This window comes from Homo sapiens, chromosome 11, assembly GCF_000001405.40.
Source record: "Homo sapiens chromosome 11, GRCh38.p14 Primary Assembly".
NCBI classification, from domain to species: domain Eukaryota; kingdom Metazoa; phylum Chordata; class Mammalia; order Primates; family Hominidae; genus Homo; species Homo sapiens.
In genome coordinates, this window is record NC_000011.10 from 119,093,590 (window position 1) to 119,121,127 (window position 27,538).

The 27,538-nt window shown below is 51.2% G+C and overlaps 3 protein-coding genes across 21 annotated transcripts, besides 18 other annotated features; 1 reads left to right on the top strand and 2 right to left on the bottom strand.

Annotated features, from left to right (window-relative positions):
* On the bottom strand, nt 285–1,876 carry H2AX (H2A.X variant histone). Its single transcript, NM_002105.3, has one exon. The coding sequence runs from the start codon at nt 1,803–1,805 to the stop codon at nt 1,374–1,376; it is 432 nt and encodes a 143-aa protein (NP_002096.1). The 5' UTR covers nt 1,806–1,876; the 3' UTR covers nt 285–1,373.
* DPAGT1 (dolichyl-phosphate N-acetylglucosaminephosphotransferase 1) lies at nt 285–8,264 on the bottom strand. 8 transcript variants are annotated; one of them, XM_047426508.1, is made up of 10 exons: nt 7,906–8,264; nt 7,429–7,549; nt 7,041–7,254; nt 6,673–6,819; nt 4,814–4,898; nt 4,266–4,454; nt 3,875–3,962; nt 3,553–3,708; nt 871–3,474; nt 285–672 (listed from the first exon to the last, which is right to left on the bottom strand). In XM_047426508.1, exons 1-9 carry the CDS (start codon nt 8,064–8,066, stop codon nt 3,409–3,411), a joined length of 1,227 nt encoding a protein of 408 aa, XP_047282464.1. In that variant the 5' UTR covers nt 8,067–8,264; the 3' UTR covers nt 285–672; nt 871–3,408. The 8 variants fall into 8 exon arrangements, with proteins under 8 accessions (XP_047282464.1, NP_001373.2, XP_005271479.1 ...); NM_001382.4 differs by lacking the exon at nt 285–672 and having other exon boundaries at nt 2,921–3,474; XM_005271422.4 differs by lacking the exon at nt 285–672 and having other exon boundaries at nt 2,921–3,708.
* Nucleotides 673–892: an enhancer, noted in NCBI's record as "active region_5622". NCBI's record gives its function as "activates an Ori minimal core promoter by ATAC-STARR-seq in GM12878 lymphoblastoid cells {active_cell/tissue: GM12878}" and the evidence as "EXISTENCE:reporter gene assay evidence [ECO:0000049][PMID:35858748]".
* Nucleotides 673–1,369: a biological region, named in NCBI's record as "NANOG-H3K27ac-H3K4me1 hESC enhancer GRCh37_chr11:118965105-118965668".
* Nucleotides 806–1,369: an enhancer, noted in NCBI's record as "NANOG-H3K27ac-H3K4me1 hESC enhancer chr11:118965105-118965668 (GRCh37/hg19 assembly coordinates)". NCBI's record gives its function as "activates a minimal SCP1, AML or CMV promoter by ChIP-STARR-seq in primed H9 embryonic stem cells {active_cell/tissue: H9 hESC(primed)}" and the evidence as "EXISTENCE:reporter gene assay evidence [ECO:0000049][PMID:30033119]".
* Nucleotides 983–1,112: a silencer, noted in NCBI's record as "silent region_3965". NCBI's record gives its function as "represses an Ori minimal core promoter by ATAC-STARR-seq in GM12878 lymphoblastoid cells {active_cell/tissue: GM12878}" and the evidence as "EXISTENCE:reporter gene assay evidence [ECO:0000049][PMID:35858748]".
* Nucleotides 1,123–1,262: a silencer, noted in NCBI's record as "silent region_3966". NCBI's record gives its function as "represses an Ori minimal core promoter by ATAC-STARR-seq in GM12878 lymphoblastoid cells {active_cell/tissue: GM12878}" and the evidence as "EXISTENCE:reporter gene assay evidence [ECO:0000049][PMID:35858748]".
* Nucleotides 1,370–1,933: an enhancer, noted in NCBI's record as "NANOG-H3K27ac-H3K4me1 hESC enhancer chr11:118965669-118966232 (GRCh37/hg19 assembly coordinates)". NCBI's record gives its function as "activates a minimal SCP1, AML or CMV promoter by ChIP-STARR-seq in naive H9 embryonic stem cells {active_cell/tissue: H9 hESC(naive)}" and the evidence as "EXISTENCE:reporter gene assay evidence [ECO:0000049][PMID:30033119]".
* Nucleotides 1,383–1,812: an enhancer, noted in NCBI's record as "active region_5623". NCBI's record gives its function as "activates an Ori minimal core promoter by ATAC-STARR-seq in GM12878 lymphoblastoid cells {active_cell/tissue: GM12878}" and the evidence as "EXISTENCE:reporter gene assay evidence [ECO:0000049][PMID:35858748]".
* Nucleotides 1,934–2,497: an enhancer, noted in NCBI's record as "NANOG-H3K27ac-H3K4me1 hESC enhancer chr11:118966233-118966796 (GRCh37/hg19 assembly coordinates)". NCBI's record gives its function as "activates a minimal SCP1, AML or CMV promoter by ChIP-STARR-seq in primed H9 embryonic stem cells {active_cell/tissue: H9 hESC(primed)}" and the evidence as "EXISTENCE:reporter gene assay evidence [ECO:0000049][PMID:30033119]".
* Nucleotides 1,963–2,062: a silencer, noted in NCBI's record as "silent region_3967". NCBI's record gives its function as "represses an Ori minimal core promoter by ATAC-STARR-seq in GM12878 lymphoblastoid cells {active_cell/tissue: GM12878}" and the evidence as "EXISTENCE:reporter gene assay evidence [ECO:0000049][PMID:35858748]".
* Nucleotides 2,363–2,472: an enhancer, noted in NCBI's record as "active region_5624". NCBI's record gives its function as "activates an Ori minimal core promoter by ATAC-STARR-seq in GM12878 lymphoblastoid cells {active_cell/tissue: GM12878}" and the evidence as "EXISTENCE:reporter gene assay evidence [ECO:0000049][PMID:35858748]".
* Nucleotides 2,498–3,059: an enhancer, noted in NCBI's record as "H3K27ac hESC enhancer chr11:118966797-118967358 (GRCh37/hg19 assembly coordinates)". NCBI's record gives its function as "activates a minimal SCP1, AML or CMV promoter by ChIP-STARR-seq in primed H9 embryonic stem cells {active_cell/tissue: H9 hESC(primed)}" and the evidence as "EXISTENCE:reporter gene assay evidence [ECO:0000049][PMID:30033119]".
* Nucleotides 7,392–8,105: an enhancer, noted in NCBI's record as "H3K27ac-H3K4me1 hESC enhancer chr11:118971691-118972404 (GRCh37/hg19 assembly coordinates)". NCBI's record gives its function as "activates a minimal SCP1, AML or CMV promoter by ChIP-STARR-seq in primed H9 embryonic stem cells {active_cell/tissue: H9 hESC(primed)}" and the evidence as "EXISTENCE:reporter gene assay evidence [ECO:0000049][PMID:30033119]".
* Nucleotides 7,392–9,532: a biological region, named in NCBI's record as "BRD4-independent group 4 enhancer GRCh37_chr11:118972216-118973415".
* Nucleotides 7,917–9,116: an enhancer, noted in NCBI's record as "BRD4-independent group 4 enhancer chr11:118972216-118973415 (GRCh37/hg19 assembly coordinates)". NCBI's record gives its function as "activates an origin of replication core promoter dependent on BRD2, P300/CBP, MED14 and CDK7 cofactors, and independent of BRD4, by STARR-seq in HCT116 cells {active_cell/tissue: HCT116}" and the evidence as "EXISTENCE:reporter gene assay evidence [ECO:0000049][PMID:35650434]".
* Nucleotides 8,299–8,608: an enhancer, noted in NCBI's record as "active region_5625". NCBI's record gives its function as "activates an Ori minimal core promoter by ATAC-STARR-seq in GM12878 lymphoblastoid cells {active_cell/tissue: GM12878}" and the evidence as "EXISTENCE:reporter gene assay evidence [ECO:0000049][PMID:35858748]".
* On the top strand, nt 8,660–24,955 carry C2CD2L (C2CD2 like). 12 transcript variants are annotated; one of them, XM_047427937.1, is made up of 16 exons: nt 8,660–8,786; nt 13,482–13,537; nt 13,786–14,506; nt 16,515–16,610; nt 16,972–17,091; nt 17,258–17,368; nt 17,463–17,579; nt 17,674–17,785; nt 17,932–18,040; nt 18,739–18,803; nt 18,893–19,020; nt 19,111–19,285; nt 20,022–20,123; nt 20,263–20,399; nt 20,491–20,776; nt 22,456–24,955. In XM_047427937.1, exons 3-16 carry the CDS (start codon nt 14,153–14,155, stop codon nt 22,665–22,667), a joined length of 2,124 nt encoding a protein of 707 aa, XP_047283893.1. In that variant the 5' UTR covers nt 8,660–8,786; nt 13,482–13,537; nt 13,786–14,152; the 3' UTR covers nt 22,668–24,955. The 12 variants fall into 12 exon arrangements, with proteins under 12 accessions (XP_047283893.1, NP_001369542.1, NP_001369541.1 ...); NM_001382613.1 differs by lacking the exon at nt 8,660–8,786 and having other exon boundaries at nt 13,161–13,537; nt 20,266–20,399; NM_001382612.1 differs by lacking the exons at nt 8,660–8,786; nt 13,482–13,537 and having other exon boundaries at nt 13,755–14,506; nt 22,436–24,955.
* Nucleotides 8,820–9,532: an enhancer, noted in NCBI's record as "H3K27ac hESC enhancer chr11:118973119-118973831 (GRCh37/hg19 assembly coordinates)". NCBI's record gives its function as "activates a minimal SCP1, AML or CMV promoter by ChIP-STARR-seq in primed H9 embryonic stem cells {active_cell/tissue: H9 hESC(primed)}" and the evidence as "EXISTENCE:reporter gene assay evidence [ECO:0000049][PMID:30033119]".
* Nucleotides 13,590–14,039: a silencer, noted in NCBI's record as "silent region_3968". NCBI's record gives its function as "represses an Ori minimal core promoter by ATAC-STARR-seq in GM12878 lymphoblastoid cells {active_cell/tissue: GM12878}" and the evidence as "EXISTENCE:reporter gene assay evidence [ECO:0000049][PMID:35858748]".
* Nucleotides 14,110–14,389: a silencer, noted in NCBI's record as "silent region_3969". NCBI's record gives its function as "represses an Ori minimal core promoter by ATAC-STARR-seq in GM12878 lymphoblastoid cells {active_cell/tissue: GM12878}" and the evidence as "EXISTENCE:reporter gene assay evidence [ECO:0000049][PMID:35858748]".
* Nucleotides 24,956–27,538: the final 2,583 nt, after the last annotated feature.

Consider the following 27,538-nt stretch of genomic DNA (forward strand, 5'->3'; position numbering starts at 1 on the left):
ACACAAAGCCCTTTCATCCTTACCTCAGAGGCTGGGACTTTTGCCCAGAGTTCTCCTGGTACGTCCTTTCTGCTTCTGCCTCAATAGTTTTCATTTCACACAGAATAAATTGTCTCCCAGGAACACCAAGAAACAGAGCCACAATCTTAAATTCCTATGGTTTGCCCCTTCAGTTAACAGTAGAGCCTGTTTATATTGCATGGCCCCTCCCACCCCTATTATCAGGAAAGTATAGAAAGTCACTAATTCTACAACTCTCTTGCAAAATGAAAACAAACGCTCCATTTAAAAAAAAAACAATCCTTTAATAAAATTAGTCCATCTAAAACTCCCCAATGCCTAAGGTTCTAGTCGTGGAAGGGTTAGCTGCAGAATTCCAGTTCAGAAGCCAACGGAGGCTCAGTCCAGACAGGGATTAACCGACTTGTGCTGGTATCTAGGTGCTTGGATTGCCGAGTTGAGTTTGCTGGAAGGGAAATGGGGCGGCGTCGGGGGGCCCGACAGGCCTGGCTGCCAGTCGGCTTCCGCGAAAACGACTCTTGCTGTCCACATAGCCAGCCGTGAAGCCAAACTGCAGGCCTCTGCCCTCCCCTAAATGTCCTCCTAGGAGGCAGTCACTCGGGAGGAAGATGTGCCTGTTACCAAGTGCTTCGTCCCGGCCCCAGCGCAGACCTATGAATGAAGATGGAGGGAGAGCTGATGTGAAAGGCCTGGGTCCCGGCCGCAGAAGGGGCGCCAGACCGAAATCGGCGATCGCGTCTCTCCCACCAAAGCCTCCCGGCCAGCGGCCGCGTCTGAAAGTCCTGGGCTAAGCACCACGCCGGGGGGGTACCAGACACCCCGGCTGCAGCTGCCGAGGGCCTCACTCACCTTCAGGGCCGCCGGCCTCTCGGCCTGGACTGCCCACCTCGGCCCTGCGTCAGAGCGGAAGGCCAAGTCTTCCAGAAGGTGCTGCGGCCTCCCCGCAGCCCCTTAGCGACTCGGGATGGGGCGGCTGAGTCACGAACGCCGAGGCGGGCAGGTGCGGCGCCGCCGGCCTCCCCCCGGCAGGCTCGGGTCTTCCGCGCCACGGAGGTCCCCGAAGAGCGCCCAAGCCGCATCCGGAAGGCCCGAACCCTACCGGAGGGCGGACGGCGGACAGGGCAGGGCCCGAGGCCGACGCGGCAGGCGGTGCGGGACGGGAGCGGGGGCGGGCGGGGACTCGAGGCCGGGCGGCGAAGGCGGGCGAGGGGAGGGGAGGGGAAGGGAGCCGCGGCCCGCTTGCCCCGCAGTCTGAAGCGGCTCAGCTCTTTCCATGAGGGCGGTGGTGGCCCTTAAAAGGGCCTTTGTGGTGGCATGGGGAGGCCTGGCGGCCGGCCGCGGCGCGGGCCCTCTTAGTACTCCTGGGAGGCCTGGGTGGCCTTCTTGCCGCCCGAGGGCGCCTTCGGCCCCACGGTGGCGCTGGTCTTCTTGGGCAGCAGCACGGCCTGGATGTTGGGCAGGACGCCTCCCTGGGCGATCGTCACGCCGCCCAGCAGCTTGTTGAGCTCCTCGTCGTTGCGGATGGCCAGCTGCAGGTGGCGGGGGATGATTCGCGTCTTCTTGTTGTCGCGGGCCGCATTGCCCGCCAGCTCCAGGATCTCAGCGGTGAGGTACTCCAGCACTGCCGCCAGGTACACTGGCGCGCCGGCGCCAACGCGCTCGGCGTAGTGGCCCTTCCGCAGCAGCCGGTGTACACGGCCCACTGGGAACTGGAGGCCGGCGCGCGACGAGCGCGACTTGGCCTTGGCGCGGGCCTTGCCGCCAGTCTTGCCGCGGCCCGACATGCTAGCGAGGTAGACCGGTGAAGCACGACGGCTCAAACACTAGAACAGACGCCCGCCGCAGTGTAACTGCTGTCGCGCGCGCGCCGCGAGGCCGCCTTTATAAGCCCCCAGGACACACCTCTGCGCCCTCCTGATTGGCTCTTTTCTCCAATACCCGCCTCCGGTTGGTTGCGGTTAACCCTTGGGTGTCGCGGCTCGGCTGAGGGAGCGCGCCCGCTGATTGGTCGAATTTGAAAACCTTTTGCCCGGGGAGAAAAGGCGAGGAGGAGGGGTAGCACGCAGACTGCCAACTATCCGCTGATGTAGCCAATCCTTGTAAAGCGCGCGAGATTTAAACACTACAATCGGAAACCAGAAGCGGAAGACCAAAGGGGTGGAGTCTGAGGCCACCTAGAGAGCGTCTGGGAAATCTGTGCCGGCGTAGGATTTTTAAAGGAAAGGGGTCAATATTATAGCTACTGCAGCCCTCCTTTCCAGGTCCAGTCACTCCCTACTCCCTTCTCCTACCTGACAAAGGGAGAATGGAAAAGTGAAGAAATTAGACCCCTTAAAAGTTTTCTTTTTTTTCTTTCTTTCTTTTTTTAATAGACCGGGTGTCACTGGCTCTGTCACCCAGGCTGGAGTGCAGTAGTGTGATCTCAGCTCACTGCAGCCTCGAACTCCTGGGTTCAAGGAATCCTCCCTGCTAAACCTCCCTCGTAGCTGGTACTACAAGTGCTCCACCACACTTGGCTAATTATTTTATTTTTGTAGAGACGGAGTCTCGTTTTGTTGCCCAGGCTGTCTTGAATTCCTGGGCTCAGGCAATCCTCCTGCCTCAGCCTCCTAAAGTGCTGGGATTACAGGCATGAGCCACTGCACCCGGTGACTCTTTGAAAGTTTGTTCCCATGCCAGGAAACAGGATAACTTCAATTTTGTGGCCCTCCATGCCACCTCTAGTATCAGGATTTAAATATTTATTCAATATGTTCTGTTTGGTCTCAGTTCTGTTCACTTCTTGTTAGACGGGGTCTGATGGGGCAGAGAGATAGGCATCCTGTTGGAGGAAGTACCCCCACCACCCCTCCCAATCTACCCAAAAATGCCCATATAGGAAATATACCTACATAAACAATAAGAAAAAGACAACACTTTATTGTCTCCATTGAGAGCATGTGGCCCCCTGCTTAGTTCTTACTAATCAGAACACTTAATTTACAATCAAATGACATGTCACCGTGGAGCCTGTGTTCCTAGCCCTGGCCCAAGTTCTATCCCAAAAACCAGTGGTTCCTTGAGAGTCAGGACTCTGAAATGTGAGTGTGGATAACTGCAAAAAAAGCTGCTGTATCCCACCCTATGAGGCTGCAAAGATGGGATGGAGAGGGAGAGAGTAGCAAGTTGCAGAAAGCCATAGGTAAAATCCAATCAGTAGTCAGCAGAGGGCAAGAAACGCCCAGGATGCCAATGATCACAGAGAAAGGAAAATGCTGAGAACAAAATCTGGAGGAGTATGAAGAGTGAGAGAGGCCTGGGCAAGGAGGCAGTCTGGGACCAGAGAGAGAGGTCAGCCTGAGTCAGGAATCCTAGAGACTGTGAGGTAAAGGACAATGATCAAGGGACTCAGACATCATAGAAGAGTCGAACGAGCTGATATCGAATGGAGAAGGTGATGGCACTGCCCAGGATCTGCAAGGAGAAATGGACTGGAGTAAGAATCACGCAGAAAGGGAGACACGGAGGTATAAACTCGATTCCCATCCTCACCTGCAGCAGCAGCAGGAGCAATGTGAGGTTTCTCTCATGTATGGGCCCAAGGACTTTAAGTAGCAAGTTGATGAGGGTCATGTTGTTACATTCAGTGAATTCACCATCTTCAGTCTCACTCTGGTGTACTGTCACCAGCTGGAGGCTCTCTGCCACCTGGAGGGACCAGAGGTGAAGAGAACCTCAGCTAATACCTATGCTTTAGGAATGTGGATCTATTTAATGCTTTCAAGTTCCCCTTGGATCTGATGTAGGACTAGGTTCCCCATTCCTCAAGGTCAGGATGGCAGCCTAGGGCCTTACCTCCTTGTTACCCTGTTACCTTTAAAATAAAGGTGCCCAAGAAAGAGAGGCTCTTGGTCTTGAACTTGGAATAGCTCATCTCCAGTTTGCCTGTCTTGATATTGAGTCTGCGGGGGGAAGATAGCTTCATGTGACTGGGCCACTATTTGAACCCTCCTCCCTGTGGCTAATAGGAAGAGCATTGAATGTGGAGTCAACCTGAGATCTATTTCTGGCTCTGCTGCTTACTGTTATCAGAACCACTGTAGCAGATTATGCAAATAAATGTGCTTTGTAAGTTATAAAGGGCTACTCACATGGAAATAGCCCTTCTTTGGGCCCACTCCCTTTGCACAGCAAATGTATAGGCTGGCATTAGATATCCCAAGTGAAAAGGCTATGATGTCCATTTCAAGCCAAAAAGCGGCTACCTGGGTATGCGGTGGCGAGGGCAGGGGATGATATGCAGGAGCTGAGGCAGTGAGTAGAGGAAGTTGAACACCTGGGGCATGAAGAATAGTAGCATGGTCTTGCTGAAGTGTCCCAAGATGCCCACCACGGCAAAGGTCATGCCAGCAAAGTAACAGAAGGTATCTCCCACAAACACCCGTGATGGGTACCTGTGTGGGGGAAGAGGATCCGAGCCAGTGGCAAGAGGCATTACCAATCCCTTCTCTCACATCACACCCTATGGGCACTGGACTAGCCCTGACCCTAGTTCTGACTCAGAGGAGACTCCAGTTGTGCAGCAACTCTGCAGGATCCAAGGCCCTGAATTCATCTATTCCTGGGGCCTCCACGCACTCATCCCTAACTACTACTGGGTAGAGAGAAATTTCAGAATACGACCAACTGAAGACGCAGAAAACTCCATAGAGGTATGCGCAGGTTTAGCTTCACCACCACAAGGTGGGTTATGATAAGGGCCATCTTTGCCATGTGTTCAGGTAGTTGTCCCCTTATCCACAGGCCTACTTACCAGTTGTGGTAGAGCAATCCCAAAGTGGTGAAAAAAAAGGGTATCATGAAGTAGAGGGAAAAGACATGATCATCCCGACAATCACCTTTGGAAGCAAGGAAGAAAGAAGGAAAAGTTAATACCCACTTCCTCTGCAAACCTTGGTCCTATTTTTGTCTAAGTTCTGTTTACAGCTGTTATCATCCACCTCACCCAAGTCACTTTTAAGAACTCAATACTCCTTTTATGTCACCCAAGGCAATTCCCAATATTCCACCTCTTTCGTGCAGCCTTCCAAACTAGTTACTATCTTAAATTTGGTTTAGCCCATTCTGATGTAAGTTTGGATACCAACTTTACTTCTTAGCTTTGTGACCTTGATCTTGATCATGACACATTTAACTTCTCTAAGCCTGTTTTCTCATCTGTAAAACAGGGCTGATTATAACATCTGCCACATAAAACCATTACAAGATTTAAATAAGATAGTGTTTAAAAAGTACTTAGCTTTAATAAACACTTGTTGATGTTCATCAGCCAAAGACCATCAGAAACACATCTATAGTTCAAAGCTAGGTTTAATGACTTGTTGTAAAAAGGGAGACTTCAGAAACCACACACCATTGGGAACCACGGAATGTCTCAGTAAGAGGGTGTTAGGAGGGGCTTGTAGTAGCGTTTGTTTTGGGTATTTTGGGAGAGGGTGAAAGAAAGTAGTTTTGCTCTGGACTGGGTGCTGTTAGAAAGCAGGAGTAATTCATGGCCGGGTGCGGTGACTCACGCCTGTAATCCCAGCACTTTGGGAGGCTGAAGCAGGCAGATCACCTGAGGTCAGGAGTTCGAGACCAGCCTGACCAACATGGAGAAACCCCGTCTCTACTAGAAATACAAAATTAGCTGGGCGTGGTGGCACATGCCTGTAATCCCAGCTACTAGGGAGGCTGAGGCAGGAGAATCGCTTGAACCTGGGAGGCGGAGGTTGCGGTGAGCCGAGATCGCACCATTGTACTCCAGCCTGGGCAAGAACAAAACTCCGTCTCAAAAAAAAAAAAAAAAAAAGAAAAGAAAAGAAAGCAAGAGTAATTCTATGATCAAGCATTTTAATGTTTATTTAAGAAATGGTAGGAACTGGCTGGGCACAGTGGCTCAAGAGTGTAATCCCAGCACTTTGGGAGGCCTGGCAGATCACTTGAGCCCAGGAGTTCAAGACCAGCCTAGGCAACATGGTGAAACCCTGTCTCTACAAAAAATACAAAAATTTGCCAGGTGTGGTGGCACATGCCTGTAGCCCCAGCTACTTGGGAGGCTGGGGCAGGAGGATCGTTTGAGTCAGAGGATGCAGTGAGCTAAGATCGCGCCACTGCTCTCCAGCCTGCATGACAGAGGGAGACCCTGTCTCAAAAAAAAAAAAAAAAAAAAAAAAAAGAAGTGGTAGGAACTGAGTTGTTATTGGAGAGCAGCAGCAGTCGCTCATGTTAGCCGAGAGAGGGGATCTTGGCCATTTTGTGGGTTGCTCAGTGTTCTTGTGGTTTTGCCTGTGCTCAAACATGATTACAGAGGGAGGGGTCTAGTTTTAGTCTTGCTCCATCACGGTCACAGAATGACCCTGTGTAACGTTGGGGTTCTGTGAAACTGTTTATATTCAATGGGAGAAGATCATGGCCTAGCTATTAGTGCCAATCCAGCTATAAATGACAGGGCTACTATTTTTCTTTCTCACTTTTAATAAATCTGCATTGTTATTTGCAAAGTAAGTAGCTTCCCTTATCTTCTATAATTACTATGCATATTGCTTTTTTCCCCTGAATTTCCCAAAGTCATATATCAGGCCACACCTTTAACACTCAGACTTCTCTCTCCCCACCCCCAATCCCACCTACCTTCCAACTCTACCAGGTTGAAGACAATGATGGAAGCAGAAATGACTAGTGACTGGCCAGCCTCTAGGCCGTTAATTCCTGCTAGGATATTGATGGCATTGGTACAGAACACTGCCAGCAGCCCCATGTAGACATAGTACAGGATTCCTGCGGGGAGAGATGGTAGGAAAAGAAGTAGTGCCACCTAGGGGAGGAGGATTTAAGAATTTTTAGAAAAGTGGTGAGGACGGACGATAGGATGAAGGGCTACCAGAAAGGATCTGGGAAGACACAGAGACAAAAAAGGAACACTTGGAGGAGAATGTGGAGCACCAGGAAGGGTTCCCTGAAGTAGGTGCCATAGGGGCAGCAGTGGTAGGACTACCTACCCAAGTCCAGATGCAGGCCAAGTATCGGGCGGAAGGGCTTGGGCACCACAATGGTCGTGTTGCCAAAGTTGGTGAAATAGACCATGAGGAGAGGTAGTGAGGCAGCTGTAGGTAGCAGCAGCTTATGGCGCCAGCGCAGATTCAGTACATCATCCGCAAAGCCCAGGAAGATCATGCAGCAGATGGCAAGGAGGGCACCTATCAGGGCCACAAACTGGGGGAGGCTCGGGCAGGTCCATGACTCAAGCCTGCTCCCATTCCACCTTTTAAGAATTCCTGTCTTTTCTGATAATTTCTTAGCCCCTCCCCACAAGCCCAAATAACCCCAGTTCTCTCAGGTACCTCCCAGGTCCCAGCCACAGGCAATCACCCCCACGAACCCACTTACTTCATGGTGGGGGAATGCCTTACACTGCTCCTTCACAAAGCAGTTCAGGAAGGGGAAAGGGATGAAGCAGAAGAGGATGATAAGGAAAACAGCACCGCTGATCACTCCCTGGGATTCTGGGCTGTGGCCCAGCAGCAAGGGGGCGAGGGGGAAGAGGAAAGGGGGCGTGGTCACTCACTAGTGCAGGTGTTACAGTAACCCAAAGTGGTCTTCTCATTCCCGGTTTTTTATTCTGGTAAGTGGTGAGGGGGGCGGAGGGAGGAAAGCACCACTGCCAGAGTCCCAGATATACCCAAGGGTCCCTACCCATCCTTTCCCCAATGCGAGTAAGTTCTGCTCATCACCTCTCCGAGTTCCAGGCTGCCTGGGTTAGTTCTGAGTCTTCACGTGTGGTCAAGCACCCCGGTTCCCGCCCCTGCCCTAGCCACTCCTTCCTTAGCCCTTGCCCCCTGCCCGGACCCGTGTGCCGCTGCTCACATCTGCTGTCGGCTGGTTTTGTTGAGGTCCTGACCACAGAGGCGCGCAGCAATGAAGTGGCCCCGGAAGGCCGGGATGAGGGTGACTGTGGCCACAAATCCCAGCAGCGAGACGATCAAATTGATCAGCAGCGGCATGGGCAATTCCGAGAAGGCCCACATGGTGACCGGTCAGGGGCCCGGCTCCGCCGCCTCTTCAGGTAACGGGCAAGCTGAGCAGCAGTCCTGAGGCCTCAGCAGTATGGAGTGGCCGCTCCCCACAGGCAGGCTCTTCCCACACCAATCTGAGCAAAACCCAGCAACTCTGACTTGAGCCGCCGTCGGGACACCGGGGAACCTCTCTAAGGCAACCTATGTTCTGCCCCGCTGCACCCGCCTATCTACTGTTTCCGCCCGGATCTTGTTCGCTGAACAACCATTACTGCGGAAGGCGGCGGCCGCCATTTTTAATATGGGCATTAGAGGGTGGGGATGGAAGTGGAAGAGAAGTGTGATTCCAAATTTCATCCTATGTTCAAGAGTAGAATCACCGAGAGAGTACTGGAAACGCAATTAAAGAAAGGCAGCCAAGAACGGATACTTCCCTAACATTATGTTAAAGATGTACTACCCAGAGCGGAAATGCCAATTGCCCGGTTCCAAGATGAATGCCTCCTTGTACCACGTGTCTGACACCGCTCACATTCCGGTTCCACGTCAGTTTTAGCTCCGTCCGCCTCCATAGGTCAAGCTTAAAGGGCCCGTACCTCTCCCTTAATCTGGGATGCCTCCGGCTCCAGGAAGATGGCTATTGAAAGGCAGGGGGTGGGGAGGAGGGACGAGGGTGTGGAGACGCGCCTGTTTCTTGCAGGAAACCTGTTGCCAACATAGTCGGAAGCCAAGGTAAACACAACTCAGTTCCCGGAAACAAAGCTACGATTTGGAAGGATGGTGTAAATTCTAAAGCGTAGATCCTTGAAAAGCCCCTCCCACTCTGTTTTTCTTGTCCTCGATTCTGGTATTTTTTTCTCAGCATCCCACCCACCTTCTGCCCCAGCTGTAGCAGTTAGTTGCCCGGCAACCCAGCGCAGCACTTCACTGAGGGATTGGGAGTACCCTCAGGTCTTGGATTTAACTCGAGACTTCAGCTTGGCCGTGGATCACTGCATTGTACCTAGCTCCCACAAGGAGGAGATGGAGATTTCCAGGCTGAGGCTCTGGAAAGAGCTGAGGAGGGAGAGGAATCAGACCCACAACTGATTTCCTGTGAGTCTGAGGAACTCCCAGTCAGGTTTCTTCCTGTAGGTCACTGTGCATTTTGCTTGGCCTCCTGCAGGTTGCTGTGCATTTTGCTTGGCCTGTTCCCCTGCAAACAACAATTCACCAGCTTTTTTTTTTTTTTTTTTTTTTTTTTTTTGAGACAGAGTTTCGCTCTTGTTGCCCAGGCTGGAGTGCAATGGCGCGATCTCGGCTCACCGAAACCTCCACCTCCCAGGTTCAAGAGATTCTCCTGCCTCAGCCTCCCGAGTAGCTGGGATTACAGGCAGTAGCTGGAATTACAGGCATGCGCCACCACGCCCGGCTAATTTTGTATTTTTAGTAGAGACGGGATTTCCCTATGTTGGTCAGGCTGGTTTGGGACTCCCGACCTCAGGTGATCTGCCCGCCTTGGCCTCCCAAAATGCTGGGAGTACAGGCGTGAGCCACCACGCCCAGCCAGTTCACCAGCATCTTTATTACCTTTCATTCCCCGACAGGCTCTTAGGCGGCAAATGATTTCCATTTGTCAGAGAGGAAGTCACCACCAGTGAGTTAGGGAAAGGACTCCAATAGCCTAGCGCTTTGTCCACTCTTCCCTCTATGGCATGTTCCAGGAGTCAGGGTCATGTTGACCGTTTTTAAGCCGAAGATAGTTTCTTCTTTCCCTCAAAATCAGATGTGAGGCCGGGCGCAGTGGCTAACGTCTGTAATCCCAGCACTTTGGTAGGCGAAGGTGGGTGGCTCACTTGAGGTCAGGAGTTCGAGACCAGCCTGGCCAACACGGTGAAACCCCGTCTCTACTGAAAATACAAAAATTAGCCGGGTGTGGTGGCACATGCCTGTAATCTCAGCTACTCAGGAGGCTGAGGCAGGAGGATCGCTTGAACCTGGGATGAGGAGGTTGCAGTGAGCCGCGATCATGCCACTGCATCCCAGCCTGGGCAACAGAGGGGAAACTGTCTCAAAACAAACAAACAAACAAACTAAATCAGATGTGAAATGGCTTTTCTACTTGAAAATGGCTCTAATTAACAACAACAAAAACCCAGATATGTATAAAATACATAAATTTTCGTAATTTACTTGCTAGTATTCCACCAGATTTTCAGTACTTATCCCACTGCTATTATTTTTCTGTGTGTGTTGTGTGTATGCACGTGTGCCCCTTTTAAACTAGAAACTCCCGGGAGGCAAGTGTTTTCTCTTCCACAGGGTGTCCCCATGGGGCTAGGAACACAGACATCTGTGTACAAGGAAGGCATCATCACACATAATGAGGCTGAGGCTGAAAGGAGGACTGAGGGCAATAGGTGCATATGGAGGGAGCAATTAGTTGTGACCAGAGTAAGTGGTCTTGAGGAAGAGAAGTATCATTTCAGTAGATTATAAGAGTAGAAGGACCTTTCACAGGCAGCGACAGTGAGACACCAGAAGCTGGTGGAAAGGAGGAGCTTGTGGGATCCCAGAGGAGGCAGCATTCAGTTATCTTGTTGATGACGAGTATACTGAGACTCCCTGGAGGTCTGAGAGCCAGTCTGTATCTATTTCCTTTTTTATTAGGAGGCCAATCCTAATAAATCTTCCTTCCCAGCCTGGTATTGGGAAGCTTTATCTCTTTCTTCTCCAGAGATCATTAGCCCTCCCTACCACCACCCTCCTGGGGAGGGTGGAAGGATGTAATCAAAGACAAGAGAGACTAAGGATTCATCATCCACATATACATGTTACTATCAGAAAATGGTTACTAAGATACTTGTCAGATAATCTGAGTATTTTTGTTCCCATGATGATAAAGTCCCAGTTGATGATCAGACTAATCAGAAGGAGAAACAAACACATGACTTTTGGCTTCACTTGAAATTGTGTGCCTTCCCTGGTAAAAGTTCAAAGCGTTTTCCTGAATGCTGAAGCCGGCCCTAGGATTCACAGACCAGTTGACTTGTCAGTGGCCCTGGACTGAGCAGACAGTGTTTGAGATGCACACCTCTTCTAAGTAGCCTTGAGTGGCTCCCAATGAGCAAGGCCAATCCACTGAATGTGATTGCTAGACAAAGCCTGTCCCAAAAATGTTTCATAGTGCCACAAAGACAATGAGACCCCTCTGGATAGTCTGGGGCTGTGATACTTGCAGGACTCTATCTGTGGCTCTGTCCAGTCAGCTGAATCACTCTTTTTCCTTTTCCTCCCACCTCTCCCCTCTTAGTCTAGAAAAAAGTTGTTAATTAAAAGCAAGCCCCAGGATTTCCCATTCCACTGGTATGGCATGAATGATATTTCAAAAGACAGAAATGGCATAGAAATTCTCAAAGCATACTTGAGTATTTTCTGTTAGACTTCTTAAAATTACAAAGTTTGTTAATCCCTACTATGTGCATAGGAAGCTCTTCAGTACTGTGGAGGATACAAACTAATATAATTGCAGTTGCTTGCCCCCAGGGAGTCTACTTCAGCATATTTGGAGCATCTTGGTTGAATTTGAGGGAAAAGAGATGACTAAGACATGGTTCCCACCCCTAGGCAGCTTCCTGATGCATGGAAAAAGCAGACATATAAACAATCAGCTAGACTCTAAGGCAGAATGTAAGTGCTAGAGGTCTAAGTAATGGAAGAAAGAAGGAGGACTAGGCTGGGCACAGTGGCTCTCACCTGTAATCCCAGCACTTTGGGAGGCCGAGGCGGGAGGATCACCTGAGGTCAGGAGTTCGAGATCAGCCTGGCCAACATGGTGAAACCCTGTCTCTACTAAAAATAACAAAAATTAGCCAGGCATGATGGCGCATGCCTATAGTCCCAACTACTTGGTAGGCTGAGGCAGGAGAATCACTCAAACCTGGGAGGTGGAGGTTGCAGTGAGCCAAGATCTCGCTACTGCACCCCAGCCTGGGCAACAGTGACTTTCTGTCTCAAGAAAAGAGAAAAAAAAAAAAAAAAAGAGGGAGGACTAACTAGGGAGACTCATGTAACTAGGTAGACTCACAGTTCAGATACTGAATTGTGAAGCAGTATCTGGCAGCATAGGACCAAGCACTCAGTGGAGAAGTTGAGGGAATAAATCAAAGAAGTCAGAGAATGGAGATCACTAGGGGGTCTGAGGGTTCCTGAAGGATTCTTGGGGGAAGAGGGTCTTCATAGGGAAAGCTTCTACCTGGACAACTTCCTGCATAACCTGCTCCCCTAAACCCTAGCTGCTCTTCCCACTGACAGCTTCCTCCTGCATCCCTGGTTCTGGCCCTGAGTTCTCTCCTCCCTTGATTTCATGTCTTCTCCTCCCTTTGAGATTAGAAACCCAGACTCTAGGAATCTCCACTGATTTGGCAGTCCAGTGACAATGCATGGGCAGGGCCACAGGAGGTTACCTCATTCACCCCCACCTCTCCCCATCATTCCTTACAGGGAAATCTAGGGAGGCCCAGGCTACCCCACCACCTCCTCTGGCTCAGACAAACCTGTTGCTGACCTGTCAGTTTCTGTCTAGCCCTGCCATCCCACACTTCAGAAGGCATTGTTTATTCTCTTATTCTCATGTGCTCATTCCTCAGACAACTACTTGGGTTTGGGAGAAAGATACTTAACACCTTTCCATCCTACCTCTTTAAGAAAGGGACTGTGTGCCAAAGACCTTCCCACATGTATGAAGAAGGGGCTCTTGGGAGAATGTGAATTCCCCCAGGATTCCTTTGAATCCTTTTGCAGGTATTTCCTTCCCCTGTCCTCAGCAAGCATTGATGAGCCCCAGTCCTGTAGAGGTTGAATCAACTCCTTGAGTCTAGGAAAAGATGGCTTCTGAGGCCAGAGGTTGGGCAGTGTACCTACAGCACCATTTCTTGGGAGCTTGTTGGGATATCACATACTTAGAGTGGCAAGGTCTTGTGGCTGAATCTATTGATAGTCCAGTGCTACATTGCCAGCTCCCTTGTCATTACCACCCCCTCTACACGTGCTCCATAGGCAGGAGCTGTTACTATGGAAATACATTATTTTTAAAAACAGACACACAGCCTGGGCTTGGGAATCTCCAGAACAAACCTACACGAGCAAGGAGGTTAATGGGGCTGTTTCTGGGTCCAAGCTCCAAGAGGAAGGAGGGTGATGATGGTGGGGGGAATTCAAATTCGGTGTTCTACTCTCAACCTCTCCCAGCTTCAGGTTCTGCTTTCTCTCTGTTGACATCAGCTGGACCTCTGCCAGACACTTCTATCTGGGAGGGACGCTCTGCGTCTCCTTACCCTGGGCCTAGCTTCCCCCAGGAAATGGGAAGCTAGAAGTCGCTGAGTCTGGGGGTGTTGGGAGAAGGGGGCGGTGATTTCCACAGGGGTCACCTCCTTCTTAACCTCACAGGCGTCCGACCTGTGGAAATCTAACAAGCATAGGGGAAAGCAAAGGCAGCATCTTAGGTAAGTGAAGTTACTCTTGCCTTGAGCTGAGTGTGGGAGCACCGCGATTGCAAGATGGGGCGAGGTGATCAAAGATCCCGCCTATTTTCAACCCCGGAACCTCCTCCGCTCGCTGCTAGCCCTCCCGCCCTCCTCCAGCGAGGGAGCGCCAGGCTGTCCTGGCCCCGCCCGGCGCGGGTGCGGCTCCTTTAAGGGCGGGTGGGGGCGGGGCGCCGGCGGTGTTGTCAGTGTCAGCTCTGCGCACGCAGCCCTCCCGGAGCCGGTGCCGGCCCGCGAGCCCCAGCGTCTCTGCAGACCAGTCCCCTCCAGGGTCCGGCGGGGCCCGCGCGGTGGGAGGAGTCGGGCACTGGCCGGCGACTAACGGGTCCGACTGCTGACCAAGCTAGGAGAGACCCGGACCACGGAGACAGAGACCCCGGCATCGCGACCCCCGAGGACCTCCTCTCCTCGCCCTGTGGCACCCACTAGTCCTGGGCACTCAGCCGCGGAGAGCCCCCGACCCCGCGCGCCCAGCCCCGGGGGAGCCCACCTCCTCCCCGCGGCCCGCCCGGGCCATGCTCCCCCGGGGCAGCGGGTGAGCCCCAGCCGGGACCGGGATCGGAGCCCGCGCGGAGCATGGATCCGGGCTGGGGGCAGCGGGACGTGGGCTGGGCGGCCTTGCTGATCCTCTTCGCCGCCTCGCTGCTCACGGTGTTCGCCTGGCTGCTGCAATATGCCCGGGGCTTGTGGCTGGCGCGGGCCCGCGGGGACCGGGGCCCGGGACCCGCCTTAGCCGGGGAACCCGCGGGTTCCCTGCGGGAGCTGGGCGTGTGGCGCTCGCTGCTGCGGCTGCGGGCGACTCGGGCTGGCGCCGCCGAGGAGCCAGGAGTCCGGGGCCTCCTGGCGTCACTCTTCGCCTTCAAGTCTTTCCGGGAGAACTGGCAGCGGGCTTGGGTGCGAGCGCTGAACGAGCAGGCCTGCAGAAACGGGGTGAGTTGGACCAAGCGCTTGGGTGGTCCCTTCAGCCTTTCCTTCCAGGGGAGGGACTGACTGCTCGTGCTAGGAGGCCAGACGAGGGTGGGCATAAACTGGGGAACCCTATGGCTTCTCTTCCCCTCCCGGATCAGAGAAAAGGGTGCCGCTAAGGCTGGAGGTTGTAGAAATCCAACTGGGTCCCCAGACTTCCATTTCTGTGGGCAAGGTACTCTGGTTCCAAACCCATGCACAAGTTGCTGTTCTCATAGCAACGCTAATCCCTGTGCCTGAGGGCACTTCCGCCTTGCCTGGGTGCTGGTTGTGTTGGGGCATGGGAGACAGGTGCACCTGCAGAAGGAATTTGCCTGCTTCTCATGCCACCACACCCATTTAACATTTCATGCCCCAAATCCCTGGTGTGGTCAGGCAGATCCCCAAGGAGCCTGAATCACCCCCCTACCCGACAGTAATTTCACTGCTACAGTCAAACACATCCTTCTCCTCCATGCTGGCCTGTGGTTCACTGGGGGTTGGGGAGTGTTCAGGTGGAGAGCAGATTGACAGTGCCCCTACCAGTAGATGAGCTTGGAACTGCCCCTTGAGGGTCAGTCACAAACCAGTCCAGCCTACTTCCTCCCATTGCACCATGGGCATCTGGCCTCCCAGGAAGTGGGGCAGGAAGCGTGGTCATGAGATGGAGATAAGGTGGGAGGTAGAAGTCTCTCTTTTCTGGAGCTCCCTCCCATCCTGACCCAGCAATCTCTCCTTGCTCTCACAGTCCATCAGCTCCTTGCTCAGAGGGTTCTCTATTTCCAGCCACTATGAGTTTGGAGGCTTTACCTTACTAGTTCCCCAGATGCCGGAAACAGAAATGTCCACAAGAAATTGCTCTATTTACTCTGTCCAGCTGGCTGGCTAAAAGCCAGATGGCATCTGTCAGTTTACACCTTGAACCCACCTCTTCATCCAACTCTCCCTGTACCTTGTCCCTCGGTCAGAAGCAACTCCCCAGGATAGCTGACTCAACTGGACATTGGCCTCCCTTGCAGAGGGTGGGGAGATTGAGGTTTCAAGCATCCATCTCCCCATCTTCCTTGGCCTAGCCTTTGAATGAGACAGCTACCAGAGCAAAGGAGTTGGCTTCCCCTGGTTTGCCAAGCAAATGAACCCTATGGATTTGTTTCCTCCATCTCAAGACCCAAGGAAGAGTTGCCAGCCAATTCTGTGCCCCTTCCTCAATTCTGTGTCCGCACTGCTCTCCAGGTGGGGCTGCGGTAGGTTGCTTCCATTACTGTGGACGAATTAGGGAGCAGCTCTTTTGAGATCTAAGCAGCTTTCTGCTCTCTAATACCGTCCTGCTATCTGCCTTGAGGAATTAGCCAGGCCCCTGGACTCTTGGGTCCTCTGAGCTTGTATCTCTTCCCAGTCCCCCTGGTACGGATCCCCAAGGCCATGCTCATCTTCATCTCCAAGAATATGAAGCATCATACTCTTGAAGCCTCCACATCTTATTTATTTGGAAGAAGGCTTAGCTTCATTTCTGCAGCTCTTATCTTGAACAAGGTGGCTCTACCACCTTTACCGGGGCTTAGCCCTTTCCCTCTGCCCAGCTATTATATATAGGTGGCAACCAGCACCTTAACTTTTTTCTATGTAGGATTTTTTGTTTGTTTGTTATTTGTTTTTTTAGGGGGTAGGGTAGGGGATGAAAGGGATTGCAGGGAGAAGAAGAAGGAAGCTCTTGGTATTCCAGGAGGAAGCCAGGGTCTTCAGCTTAAGGTGATCTAGTCTCTGAGGTGGACTACCTCCCCATTGCTCAGTGGCTCCTAGCAGCTACAGGCCCCTGGAGAGGCAGGCCTTGAGGGGACTACCTCCTGTCTTAAAGCCCTGAGCCAAGGAGGGGCCAGAAGCCAGCCTGCAGCTGAGGCCTCCGCAGTGGCAGAGTCCAGCCAGCAACTGAGCAGGCCAACCCTGTGGGGGGCAGCTCCAGAGACCTGATCCAATGCCCACATTACTCCCTCAGAGCTCCATCCAAATCGCCTTTGAGGAGGTGCCCCAACTCCCACCCAGAGCCAGCATCAGTCATGTGACCTGCGTAGACCAATCTGAGCATACCATGGTAAGGGTCTGATGGGCACTGCCCTCTTTGGGGTCCAAGAAGGACTGACCCCAAGGGCTCCCTTTAGTCCAGAGGTTCTTAACCTGGAGTCTGTGAATGCCTTATGGATCTAAGGATTGGTTTCAGGAAGTCTGAGAATCCCATTGAAGTTATGTGCAAAATGTTGGATGTGTGTTTATATGCATTTTTCTGGGGAGAGGAGTCTTTGGCATTTATCTGATTCTTTTAGGGATTTATGATCCTGAAAACATGAAGTCCTTAGGAAAACGGAAGTGGGGAGGGGTCTGCTGAACTATTACAGGGCAGTTCAAAGCAGGGTGAGCACCCTTCCCCCACATCTGACCCACCTCGCCGGTCTCAGGTGCTGCGTTGCCAGCTCTCTGCTGAGGAGGTGCGGTTCCCAGTCTCTGTGACCCAGCAGTCCCCCGCTGCCGTCTCCATGGAGACCTACCACGTCACTCTGACACTGCCACCAACACAGGTAGAAGGGGATGTGGGAAACTGAGTTGGGCAGGGGCGGTTCCATTGGCTCAGCTTCTTCCATTTGTTTCCTCTCTGGGATGGAATTCAGGAAGGGAGAGTCCTCGAATTAGGAGTCCTTGGGTAAATGGGGCAAGTCAGCCCAGTCACTTTGTTCCTGTCTGTAGTTGGAAGTCAACCTGGAGGAAATCCCTGGTGAGGGGCTGCTCATATCCTGGGCCTTCACTGATCGCCCAGATCTCAGCCTAACGGTGCTTCCCAAGCTTCAGGCCAGGGAGGTAAGGAGGCAGAGCTGGCAGAGAAGAGGCAGAACGGGGAGGGAGGCAGAGGTGGGGGATCCACCTCCTTGTTGTTCCCTTCTTCTCTCTGCAGAGAGGTGAAGAACAAGTGGAGCTCTCCACAATTGAGGAACTGATCAAGGATGCCATAGTCAGCACCCAGCCAGCCATGATGGTCAACCTCAGGGCTTGCTCTGCCCCAGGAGGCCTGGTGAGTTGGCACCCAAAGCAAAAGATTTGCATGCACCTTGTTCCTAGGGTGCTATGTCAGGATTCTTGCTCTTTGGACCTTCTTCTGCTCTTAGGTACCCAGTGAGAAGCCACCCATGATGCCCCAGGCTCAGCCAGCCATCCCCAGACCTAACCGGTTATTCCTACGGCAGCTTCGGGCATCTCACTTGGGAAATGAGCTGGAAGGTGAGAGCTGGAAGTGGCTGCGGGACTGCCAAGGCTATGGTTGGTTGCAGATGCTCTCTGCCCCTCTGCCAAGGGTACAGCCTCTTTATTCTGCAGTGACTTCCCATCTCTGATCTGAGCATCTTCTAACTTCTGGTTCATCACAGGCACCGAGGAACTGTGCTGTGTAGCTGAACTCGACAACCCCATGCAGCAGAAGTGGACCAAGCCCGCGAGGGCTGGATCCGAGGTGGAGTGGACAGAAGACCTGGCACTGTAAGGAGTAACCCTGCCCCGACCCCATGCTCCAGAGCAGAGAGGATCAAACCTTTCCAGCACAGTCCTTGCAGGAATCAGCTCTGTTTTCAGTAGCCTTTGGCGTGAGCTCCTATTGTATGCCAGGCCCTGGCGTGGGTCTTAGGGATACAGACTTGACCAAGATACAGCCCCCACCCCTGGGTCAATGACAAGCTTGAGGCAGAGACAGGTGTACATAAAGAAGATGGTAAAACCGCTCCAGTTGAGGTTTATGTAATGTGCCGTCAGAGTGCCTAGGTGGGGGGGAGATTAATTCCCATGAGGGAATAAGGATCAGAGTAGGCTTCATGGAGGAGATGACATTTAAACCACACTTTAGAGCAAGAGTAGGATTTCATCAGAGTGTGAAAGTATTCTCGGCAGAGGGAAGAGCTGGAGCAAATGAAAGAGGGTGGCTTGCAACTGAGAGACTGGCAAGACAGGAAGAGCAGGACCAGGGAGGATTTGAATGCATAGCTGAGAAGCATGGTTTCCACTCAGGCCCTGTCCCTTTCTCTTGGGACGAGAGAGAATTTGGAGGCCAGGAGAATCTGATTGGAGCATTTATGCCGTTTTATTTATGTACACAGCTCTCTGCCTCTGGCCTGTGATCCACTCAAGTGTGGGTTCAGCTTGCTAATTTTCTCCTTCCTGCCCCATCTCCTCTTGTCCCACAGGGATCTGGGCCCCCAGAGCCGGGAGCTGACCCTCAAAGTGCTGAGGAGCAGCAGCTGTGGAGACAGTAAGTGAGGGGTGGGAGGGGCACCCCTGGGTGGGTACAGAGTGGGGTCTGGCCATGGGCCCAGCTCACAGTGCCATCCCTTTCCCCAGCCGAACTCCTAGGCCAGGCCACACTGCCTGTGGGCTCCCCCTCCAGACCACTGTCTCGAAGACAGTTGTGCCCACTCACCCCAGGGCCAGGGAAAGCCCTGGGACCAGCAGCCACCATGGCAGTGGAGGTGAGAAGCTGACCCCTGGGGTAGGTGGGAGGACACAGGGGATGGGCAGTCTCCGAGGCTCTGTCTCTTCTCTCTCCCACCCCTGGGCAGCTTCACTATGAGGAGGGCTCTCCCCGGAACCTGGGTACTCCCACCTCCTCCACTCCACGCCCCAGCATCACACCTACCAAGAAGATTGAGCTTGACCGGACCATCATGCCCGATGGCACCATTGTCACCACAGTCACCACTGTCCAGTCCCGGCCCCGTATAGACGGCAAATTAGGTAAAGAGAAGGAGCCTGGGAGCCCAGCTCTAGCCAGGGGCCCGGGACTGCAGACCCAAGGCAGGACAGTGAAAGAGGAGAGAGCCTTAATTCCAACTCCCCCTGTTTTCAGACATTCCATTCCAGTCCTACCACATCTTCCTCCCAATCTTTGTCTCTTCCAAACTTTCCCTTACCTCCTGCCATTTCCCCAGCAATTCCTCTCACTCTGCCACCCTTCTGGATCCTCCTGCCCCTCCTCATACAGGACTGTTGCACTCCTACCTTCCAGCTTCCCCTCTGGCTTTTCACAGGTGTCCTTAGCCCCAGCTGACTATAATTGTCCATCCTGCTACCCTCAGCCCTCCAGCACCCCCTGGGGTCCTCCAACAAACCCAGAGGCCTCTGTGGCATTTCTACCCCACTCAGTGGGCCCCCATGGCACTTCTGCCATTATAGGGGCCCCACTGAATTGCCCCAACTTCAGGGAGCCCCAGTACCCCCTCTGTCCCCGCTCCATATTTTCATAGCATCTCCCCACACCTTCAGCAGGCCCCATGGCACTTTCCTACACTCCCATTAGCTCCTGGGGTGTCTTTTAGTCCCCACGGCATCTTCCTAATCACCCTTGTGATTAATCACCCTTTAATCATTCTTGCCCTCTGAGTCACCCAAAGTCTGCATCTCAACAAAGACAGTAGGGGTGGGGGCCACTCTGAAGCAACTCCCAGCTCACTGACCCTCCCCCACCCACCAGACTCCCCCTCCCGCTCCCCGTCCAAGGTGGAGGTGACCGAGAAGACGACAACTGTGCTGAGTGAGAGCAGTGGCCCCAGCAATACCTCCCATAGCAGCAGCCGTGAGTGGGGAATGGGGTGCATGAGTGTGGGTTGGCCCTGGTGCCCCAGCATCAAAAAGTACTCTGGGTGGGATAGGAGGAGTTCCAATCCAAGAAAGAGCCAGGGAGAAGTCAGGTTATTCATTCTCTGCACCCCTAGCAGGGGACAGCCACCTTTCCAACGGCTTGGACCCTGTAGCAGAGACAGCGATTCGCCAGCTGACAGAGCCCAGTGGGCGGGTGGCCAAGAAGACACCCACCAAGCGCAGCACTCTCATCATCTCTGGTGTTTCCAAGGTAACAGGGCTCTGGGGAGAGGAGCTGGGATGGGGAGAAAGCCCTAATGGGTCGGTCACTCCTGCCCATTAAAACCCGTCCCTCCTGCCAGGTGCCCATTGCTCAGGACGAGTTGGCGCTATCCCTGGGCTATGCGGCATCCCTGGAAGCCTCAGTGCAGGATGATGCAGGGACCAGCGGAGGCCCCTCTTCACCTCCCTCAGACCCACCAGCCATGTCTCCAGGACCGCTAGATGCCCTCTCTAGTCCCACAAGTGTCCAGGAAGCAGACGAGACAACCCGTTCGGATATTTCTGAGAGGCCATCTGTGGATGATATTGAGTCGGAAACGGGGTCCACTGGTGCCCTGGAGACCCGCAGCCTCAAGGATCACAAAGGTAGGGGGACGTTGGCAGGGTGCCCCTCATCTCTTCTTTTATACACATATCATGACCTGGGGGACCTCGAGCCAGTGTGCCTTCTCCTTCCTCCCCTAAGAGATAGCCGGATTCCCAGCCTAGTTCAGCCAAGCTAGCCTAGAGGGGGATCTTGGTGCCTTGGTTCCTGGCCTAGATCTGACATGCTTGTGATAGGAAGGGATGCCAAATTATTTCCCTTTACCTCCATTGTTCTTTCTTCCTGAGTCTAAGTGCCATTTTTCCTGCCCTTTAAAAAAAAATTATAAAAATTTATTCCTAGGCAGGGTGTGGTGGCTCACACCGGCACTTTGGGAGGCCAAGGCGGGTGGCTTACCTGAGTCCAGGAGTTCAAGACTAGCCTGGGCAACATGGCGAGACCCCATCTCTACTAAAAATACAATAAATTGGCTGGGCGTAGTGGCACACACCTGTAATCTCAGCTACTCAGGGGGCTGAGGAGGGAGGATTCCTTGAGCCTGGGAGGTTGAGGTTCAAGGAGGTTGAAGCAGTGAGCCGTGATTGTGCCACTGCACTCCAGCCTGGGTGACAGAGTGAGACCCTGTCTCAAAAAAAATTTTTTTTTTCCATGGCTGGGCACGGTGGTTAATGCCTGTAATCCTAGCACTTTGGGAGGCCAAAGCGGGTGGATCACAAGGTCAGGAGTTCAAGACCAGCCTGGCCAACATGGGTAAACCCCATCTCTACTAAAAATACAAACATTAGCCAGACGTGGTGGCAGGCGCCTATAATCCCAGCTACTTGGGAGGCTGAGGCAGGAGAATCGCTTGAACTGGGGGGTTGGAGGTTGCAGTGAGCCCAGATCATGACACTGCACTCCAGCCTGGGTGACAGAGTGAGACTCTGTCTCAAAAAAAAAAAAAAAAAAAAAAAATTCTTCCCTTTCAATCTGCACCCTCTCCCCAATGAGTATAAGAAATCCTACCCTTGGATTATCCATCTGGCAGCAAGACAGGCAGTGACCAGTGGTGGTAGTTCTTCTAACTTTAAAAGATGAGAGGCTCACCCTAAAACATCTTCATTCCTCTACCAGTGAGACTATCAACCATGGATCTATCTATCTATTTTTTAAGCCTGCATCACTTCTTGAGATAATGAGGTTTCTACCTCCAAAGCCTGCTGGGTGAGCACCTTGCTCATTATACTGGTTCTGAATTTACCTCTTTGAAGTTTCTAGATGCACCACTTCCTGCTCACAGCCTGGAATTCGGTTAACAAGTCAGTGTCAACCTACCTTTCCCTTCATGATTTATAGACTTTTGGGAGTACCTTCTGGTAGCTTTTGTCTTCCCATAGGAAAGAGGCCCAATCCCAGTTTGTCCTCACAAAGCGGCCAGCTCCGTGATATCTCTTTTGCGGGCAGAGTTAAGATTGTACACAGATCCCCACAAGTACCACGATTTTTGCCTCAGGAAGGATAAAGCACATGTTTGTTTCTGCTTTCGTTTTCTTTTTTCTTTTTTTCACGAAGCCTTATGGAGAAGTATGTTTCTGCTTTCTTTCCTGAGGAAGCCTGGCTTCTGGGCCACGGGACTGATCCTGTCCACATCCTCTTTCCCTCCATTCTCCATCGTGTCTCTGCCCCCGTCTCACCCCACCCCGTGCCCCTCTCTGCCTCAGCTTCCCCTCTTCCCCTGCAGTGAGTTTCCTGCGCAGCGGCACTAAGCTCATCTTCCGCCGGAGGCCTAGGCAGAAGGAAGCTGGCCTGAGCCAATCACACGATGACCTCTCCAACGCAACGGCCACGCCCAGTGTCCGAAAGAAGGCCGGCAGCTTTTCTCGCCGCCTTATCAAGCGCTTTTCCTTCAAATCCAAACCCAAGGCCAATGGTAACCCCAGCCCCCAGCTCTGAGGACCCAGCTCTGAAAGGGCACGAGTTCTCTCAGCCCATTCCCCACCTCCCCTTCCATACCCCTTCCTGGATCTCCAGTGCCTGGGCCAGGAAAGCCCTCTGGGTTCCGGGAAGCCCCGTCCACCCTGGGCCATGGGGCCGGTTGGAAGGATACTTGGAACGGGAAGCACATGAGAGGTGGGCACCCGGTGCCGAGGACATGGACGAGGGACTGGTGGCTGGGAGGGAGAGGAGGGCCCTGTCCGGCATGTGTGGGTATTCCCCAGAAGCATTTGCCTCCTGCTGAGCCTGGTCCCTGAGCGGAGTCCCAGGGTGCTCAGCTCTTCAGCTGACCCTTCTTCCCTTATTTATTCTCTTTTCTATTTATATGTGTGGCTTAGGACCCTCCGTGAACAGATGATAGAGGGCATCTCTCCCAGGTGACCCTTCTTTTCTGTCCCAGGAGGGTGGGTAATTCCCTTTGGGATGGGGCTCCCACACCTCCCTCAGGTCCCCACTCAGACCAGCACCAGTGTCTGCCTCTGAGAATGTTGGCAGCTCACAGAGAGCAGGGCCGGCCCGGGATGGGGGGCAGGTACTCCCCACCTTCCTGCCTCCCCTCCTGCTCCTCATCCCTCCCTCCCCCTTTATTACCGTTTTTTGTACTTGATGCCTTCTCTGTGAGCAGTGGCTCTGTGGGAAGGAGGGAGCCGGGAGCCTGGTGGGAAGCCTTCCCCAGAGAGATGGCTTTAGGGGCTTTATTTAAAGACTGTGATGATGGAGCCACGCAAGGCTGCACCTCTGTGTGTTGGGAGACGATGATGATGTCCATTGCTGTGTGATGGCTTGGAATTTAATTTATTAAAGTCAAATTGGAGTTTATAAACTGGACAACTGGTTATCCTTTGAAAGGCAGTAGGCAGCCAGGCTGTGACATGGATGGTGTGGGAGGATGAGACAGGGGCCCGGATAATGAGGTTGGGTAGATGACACACATTGTGGATCTGCTAAGAAGTTCCTGCAGGGAAGAAGGGGTGTGCAGAGAAAGGATGGAAGAGACAGGAGGCTCTGGAGTATGAAATTGTAGCAAAAAACTCAATCAACTAGTACAGGTTAGTCTTCATTCCCCTTTCTGGAACAGGCTGCTCCTTCTAGGATGTAATGGAGATCAAAGCTTGGACCCTGTAACTAGACTGCCTGCCTGGGTTTGAGTCCCAGCTCTTCTAATTACTTGTGTGACCTTGGGCAAGTTATGTAACCTCTAAGTGCCTCAGTTTTCTCATCTGTAAAATGGGAACTTCAATCATCATGGCTATCATTTGGTTGTGGATGAGAAGTAAATGAAGTGCTGAGTGTTAACTGTTGCCTCAGAAGAAACTGGGAGGGGGAAGTCTTAGAAGTGTTTCAACATAATAAAAGCTCTCTCATTCTGAAATGTGGGCAAATTTCAGGGATTGATAGATCCTAGCAAACTGTGTCCCTGGTTCCCGTGCTTGAGATCTTATACAGGACTTGAACCAGGTAAGCTGCTACAGGATATTGGGCAGAATGCAGGACCAGGAAGCAAGAAAACTGAGTCTGCCACAGACAAACCAAGTGATCTTGAGCAGGCAACTTCTCCTTTGGGGACCTCAGTTTCCTCATATCTAAAATAAGGGTGACCTGGATAAACATTCAGGTCACTTCCAGCCTTGACATTCTATGACTACCTATATCTCAGGGTGTTTAGGGCACATGCCTTTGGGTAGATAGCATGTGGAAATTGTTACTATTCCCCATGCTCCTGTCCACACTACTCACCAAATATGAGATATCCGGGAAGAATGGAGGGTATAGATTTTTTTTTTCAATTAGATAATTTAGTTTTATATATTTGGGGGGACAAGTGCAGGTTTCTTACATGCATATATTGCATGCATAGAGGTGAAGTCTGGGCTTTTTTTAGTGTGCGCATCGCCCAAATAGTGAACATCATACCCAATAGGTAGTTTTTCAACCCTCACCCTCCTCCCACCTTCTCACCTTTCATAGTCTCCGATGTCTTTTATTCCACTCTATATGTCCATGTATACCCATTATTTAGCTCCCACTTATAAATGAGAATATGCCATATTTGACTTTGTTTCTGAGTTATTTCACCGAGGATAATGGCCTCCAGTTCCACCCATGTTGCTGGAAAACACATGATTTCATTCTTTTTTATGGCTGAGTAGTATTCCACTGTGTGTGTGTGTGTTGGGCGATGATAATGATGTCCATTGCTGTGTGACAGCTTGGAATTTAATTTATTAAAGTCAAGTTGGAGTTTATAAACTGCATTTTCTTTATCACTCACTACATTAACTACGTTTTCTTTATCCAATCCTCCATTGATGGACACATCGATTTGGTTGATTTTTATGTAGTGAAATGTTCAATTCTAAGTCATGAAAATTCAAAGAGATTTTTCAAGCTGTTTCCCCAGTCTAAGAAATGTAACTCTTAGTGGTTCACAGAGGAACAGTTTTTCTACCAGTATGACACGACAACCAAACACAGTGAACTTGTGATTGCACAAGAAACTTTTGTTGATGGGAGAACAGGTATTCAGAGTTCTACAGGACCTGGGGAATGAGTAGATGGTAACTGGAATCTGTATTGAGCTTCCAGTACTGAGCTGCCCAGAGTTCCATGGAATCACATATTTTAGTGAAGAAGAGCCTGATCACGTTTCAAAAATAGGGAATTTTTAAATGAATGAAAAAAATACGAAACATATTTTCATCAACTTAATCCATTTCACACTTTCAGAAGGGATCCACAGCTTTTAATGAGTATGAATTATGCTTTCAGTTTTTGTGGCAGCTTTTAAAGAACAAATCTCAGGATATGTCTGAATTACCCAGCCAAAATTGTGGCTTGTTTTCAAGAGAAGCAGATTGAGATAGAAGTAAACTATGCTAGACAGAATGACACTGCTTTAAATTTTGGAAACATATATATGGATCCCAGAGCAATCCTGAAATTTTTGCTCTGTAACCTATGTTTGAGTTTACACAGCTCTGTGAATGAACTTTTTCTTCATAAAATTGCTAAATAAAGCTAAAAGCTATTTTCAGTGGTGTAAATCTGAATTAAAATGAGGATGGCATTTCATGAAGTACTACTATATGCATTTTTGAATGAATAAAGTTGGTAAGATATATTTTGTTACTTTTGAATTACATTTTTTAAAACGCTTTTTTTTTTTTTTTGAGACAGAGTCTCTCTCTGTTGCCCGGGCTGGAGTGCAGTGGAGTGATCTTGGCTCACTGCAACCTCTGCCTCTCAGGTTCAAGCGATTTTCCTGCCTCAGCCTCCTGAGTAGCTGGCACTACAGGCACCCACCACCACACCTGGCTAATTTTTGTATTTTTTGTAGAGATGGGGTTTCGCCATGTTGGCCAGGCTGGTTTCGAATTCCTGACCTCATGATCCGCCCGCCTCGGCCTCCCAAAGTGCTGGGATTACAGGCATGAGCCACCGCGCCCTGCAAAACCCTATTTTAAAATAGGGACCAAGTTATAACTCACTGTTGTTAAAACCAAAATTTATGCACAAGTATGACTTTACTATCTTAATGGCATTTTAAATTTTATTTTATATATATTGAACATTTAATGTGTTTTCTGATTGTACAAATTATATAGGTTTATTTTTAGATTAGAAGATACAGAAAACTACAATGCAATAAAATATCAGTCTTAACCAACTTTATTAAGGTATATTATTTAACAAGTATGTCTTGAACCCTTACTGAGTTTCAGCCACTGGGCTAAGTGAGTGATGGGTTTTTTGTTTTATTTTGTTTTTTGTTTTGTTTTGAGACAGAGTCTTGCTCTGTTGCCCAGGCTGGTGTGCAGTGGTGCCATCTCAGCTCACTGCAACCTGTGCCTCCTGGGTTCAAGCGATTCTCCTGCCTCAGCCTCCCGAGTAGCTGAGATTATAGGCGCCCGCCACGATGCCCAGCTAGTTTTTGTATTTTTAGTAGAGACGGGGTTTCCCCATGTTGGCCAGGCTGGTCTTGAGCTCCTGACCTCATGTGATCCACTCGCCTCGGCCTCCCAAAGTGCTGGGATCACAGGCGTGAGCCACGACACCCGGCCCACTGATGGAGTTATAAAGGTGAAGAACTAGTCTAGTGAAGAATGCAGACTGAGAGTAAACAGACAAATACAATGTGACTGAGCTGTATTGTTAAATACAAGAAAGGACTATCAGGAAGACTTTTTGGAAAAAGAAGCATCTACACTGAGACCATAAAAATTAGTAGGAGTCAGTCAAATAAATGTGGGAGGAGGAGAAAGGGATTATTCCAGGTAAAGAAAACAAGTTCAAGGCTTGAGAGGTAAAAGGTGGCTTGGTGTGGTGGAAAAGGTGAAAGAAATTTGCGACTGGAGAGCAAGAAATATGGTCGAGAAGGACTAAAAAAAAGTAGACAGGGAGAGCCCAGATGCTGAAGGGTCTAGAAAACCTCAGTATGGTTTTGGAGCTTTGCCCTGAAAGCAATAGAATGCCTTTGAATTGTCTGAAGCAGATGGTAACTTGATCAGGTCTGCTTTTTGCAAAGTGGAGAATGCTTTGGAAGGAAGCAAGTGTGCACGCAGCGGGACCCATTAGACTAATGTATAAATCCTGCCTGGAGGTCATCACTGGACAGGGGAGGTGGGGGAGGCGGTGAAGATAAACAAAAGGGGATAAATTTGAAATATCCTGTTTTAAAAGGAGGTAGAATCCACAGAACTTGGCAATGGATTGGATGTGAGAAGTGAGAGGAATCAGTGATGACTGCCAGCTTTCTGACCTGAACGAGTGGATGAAGGGAAGCCGAGTTTTGGGGGGAAAGAGAAACATATAATACCAACATTTAAAAC

Excerpts from the sequence above, each read along its gene's own strand:
- H2AX (NM_002105.3), bottom strand. The coding sequence starts at position 1,805 with ATGTCGGGCCGCGGCAAGACTGGCGGCAAGGCCCGCGCCAAGGCCAAG.
- DPAGT1 (XM_005271422.4), bottom strand. The coding sequence starts at position 8,066 with ATGTGGGCCTTCTCGGAATTGCCCATGCCGCTGCTGATCAATTTGATC. Across the intron at positions 4,455-4,813 it reads GGATTGCTCTACCACAACTG|GTACCCATCACGGGTGTTTG; the intron begins GTAAGTAGGCCT and ends TCCCCCACACAG. Across the intron at positions 3,709-3,874 it reads TGGGCACCTTTATTTTAAAG|GTGGCAGAGAGCCTCCAGCT; the intron begins GTAACAGGGTAA and ends TGGTCCCTCCAG.
- C2CD2L (XM_047427937.1), top strand. The coding sequence starts at position 14,153 with ATGGATCCGGGCTGGGGGCAGCGGGACGTGGGCTGGGCGGCCTTGCTG. Across the intron at positions 14,507-16,514 it reads AGCAGGCCTGCAGAAACGGG|AGCTCCATCCAAATCGCCTT; the intron begins GTGAGTTGGACC and ends TTACTCCCTCAG. Across the intron at positions 17,786-17,931 it reads CTTGGGAAATGAGCTGGAAG|GCACCGAGGAACTGTGCTGT; the intron begins GTGAGAGCTGGA and ends GGTTCATCACAG.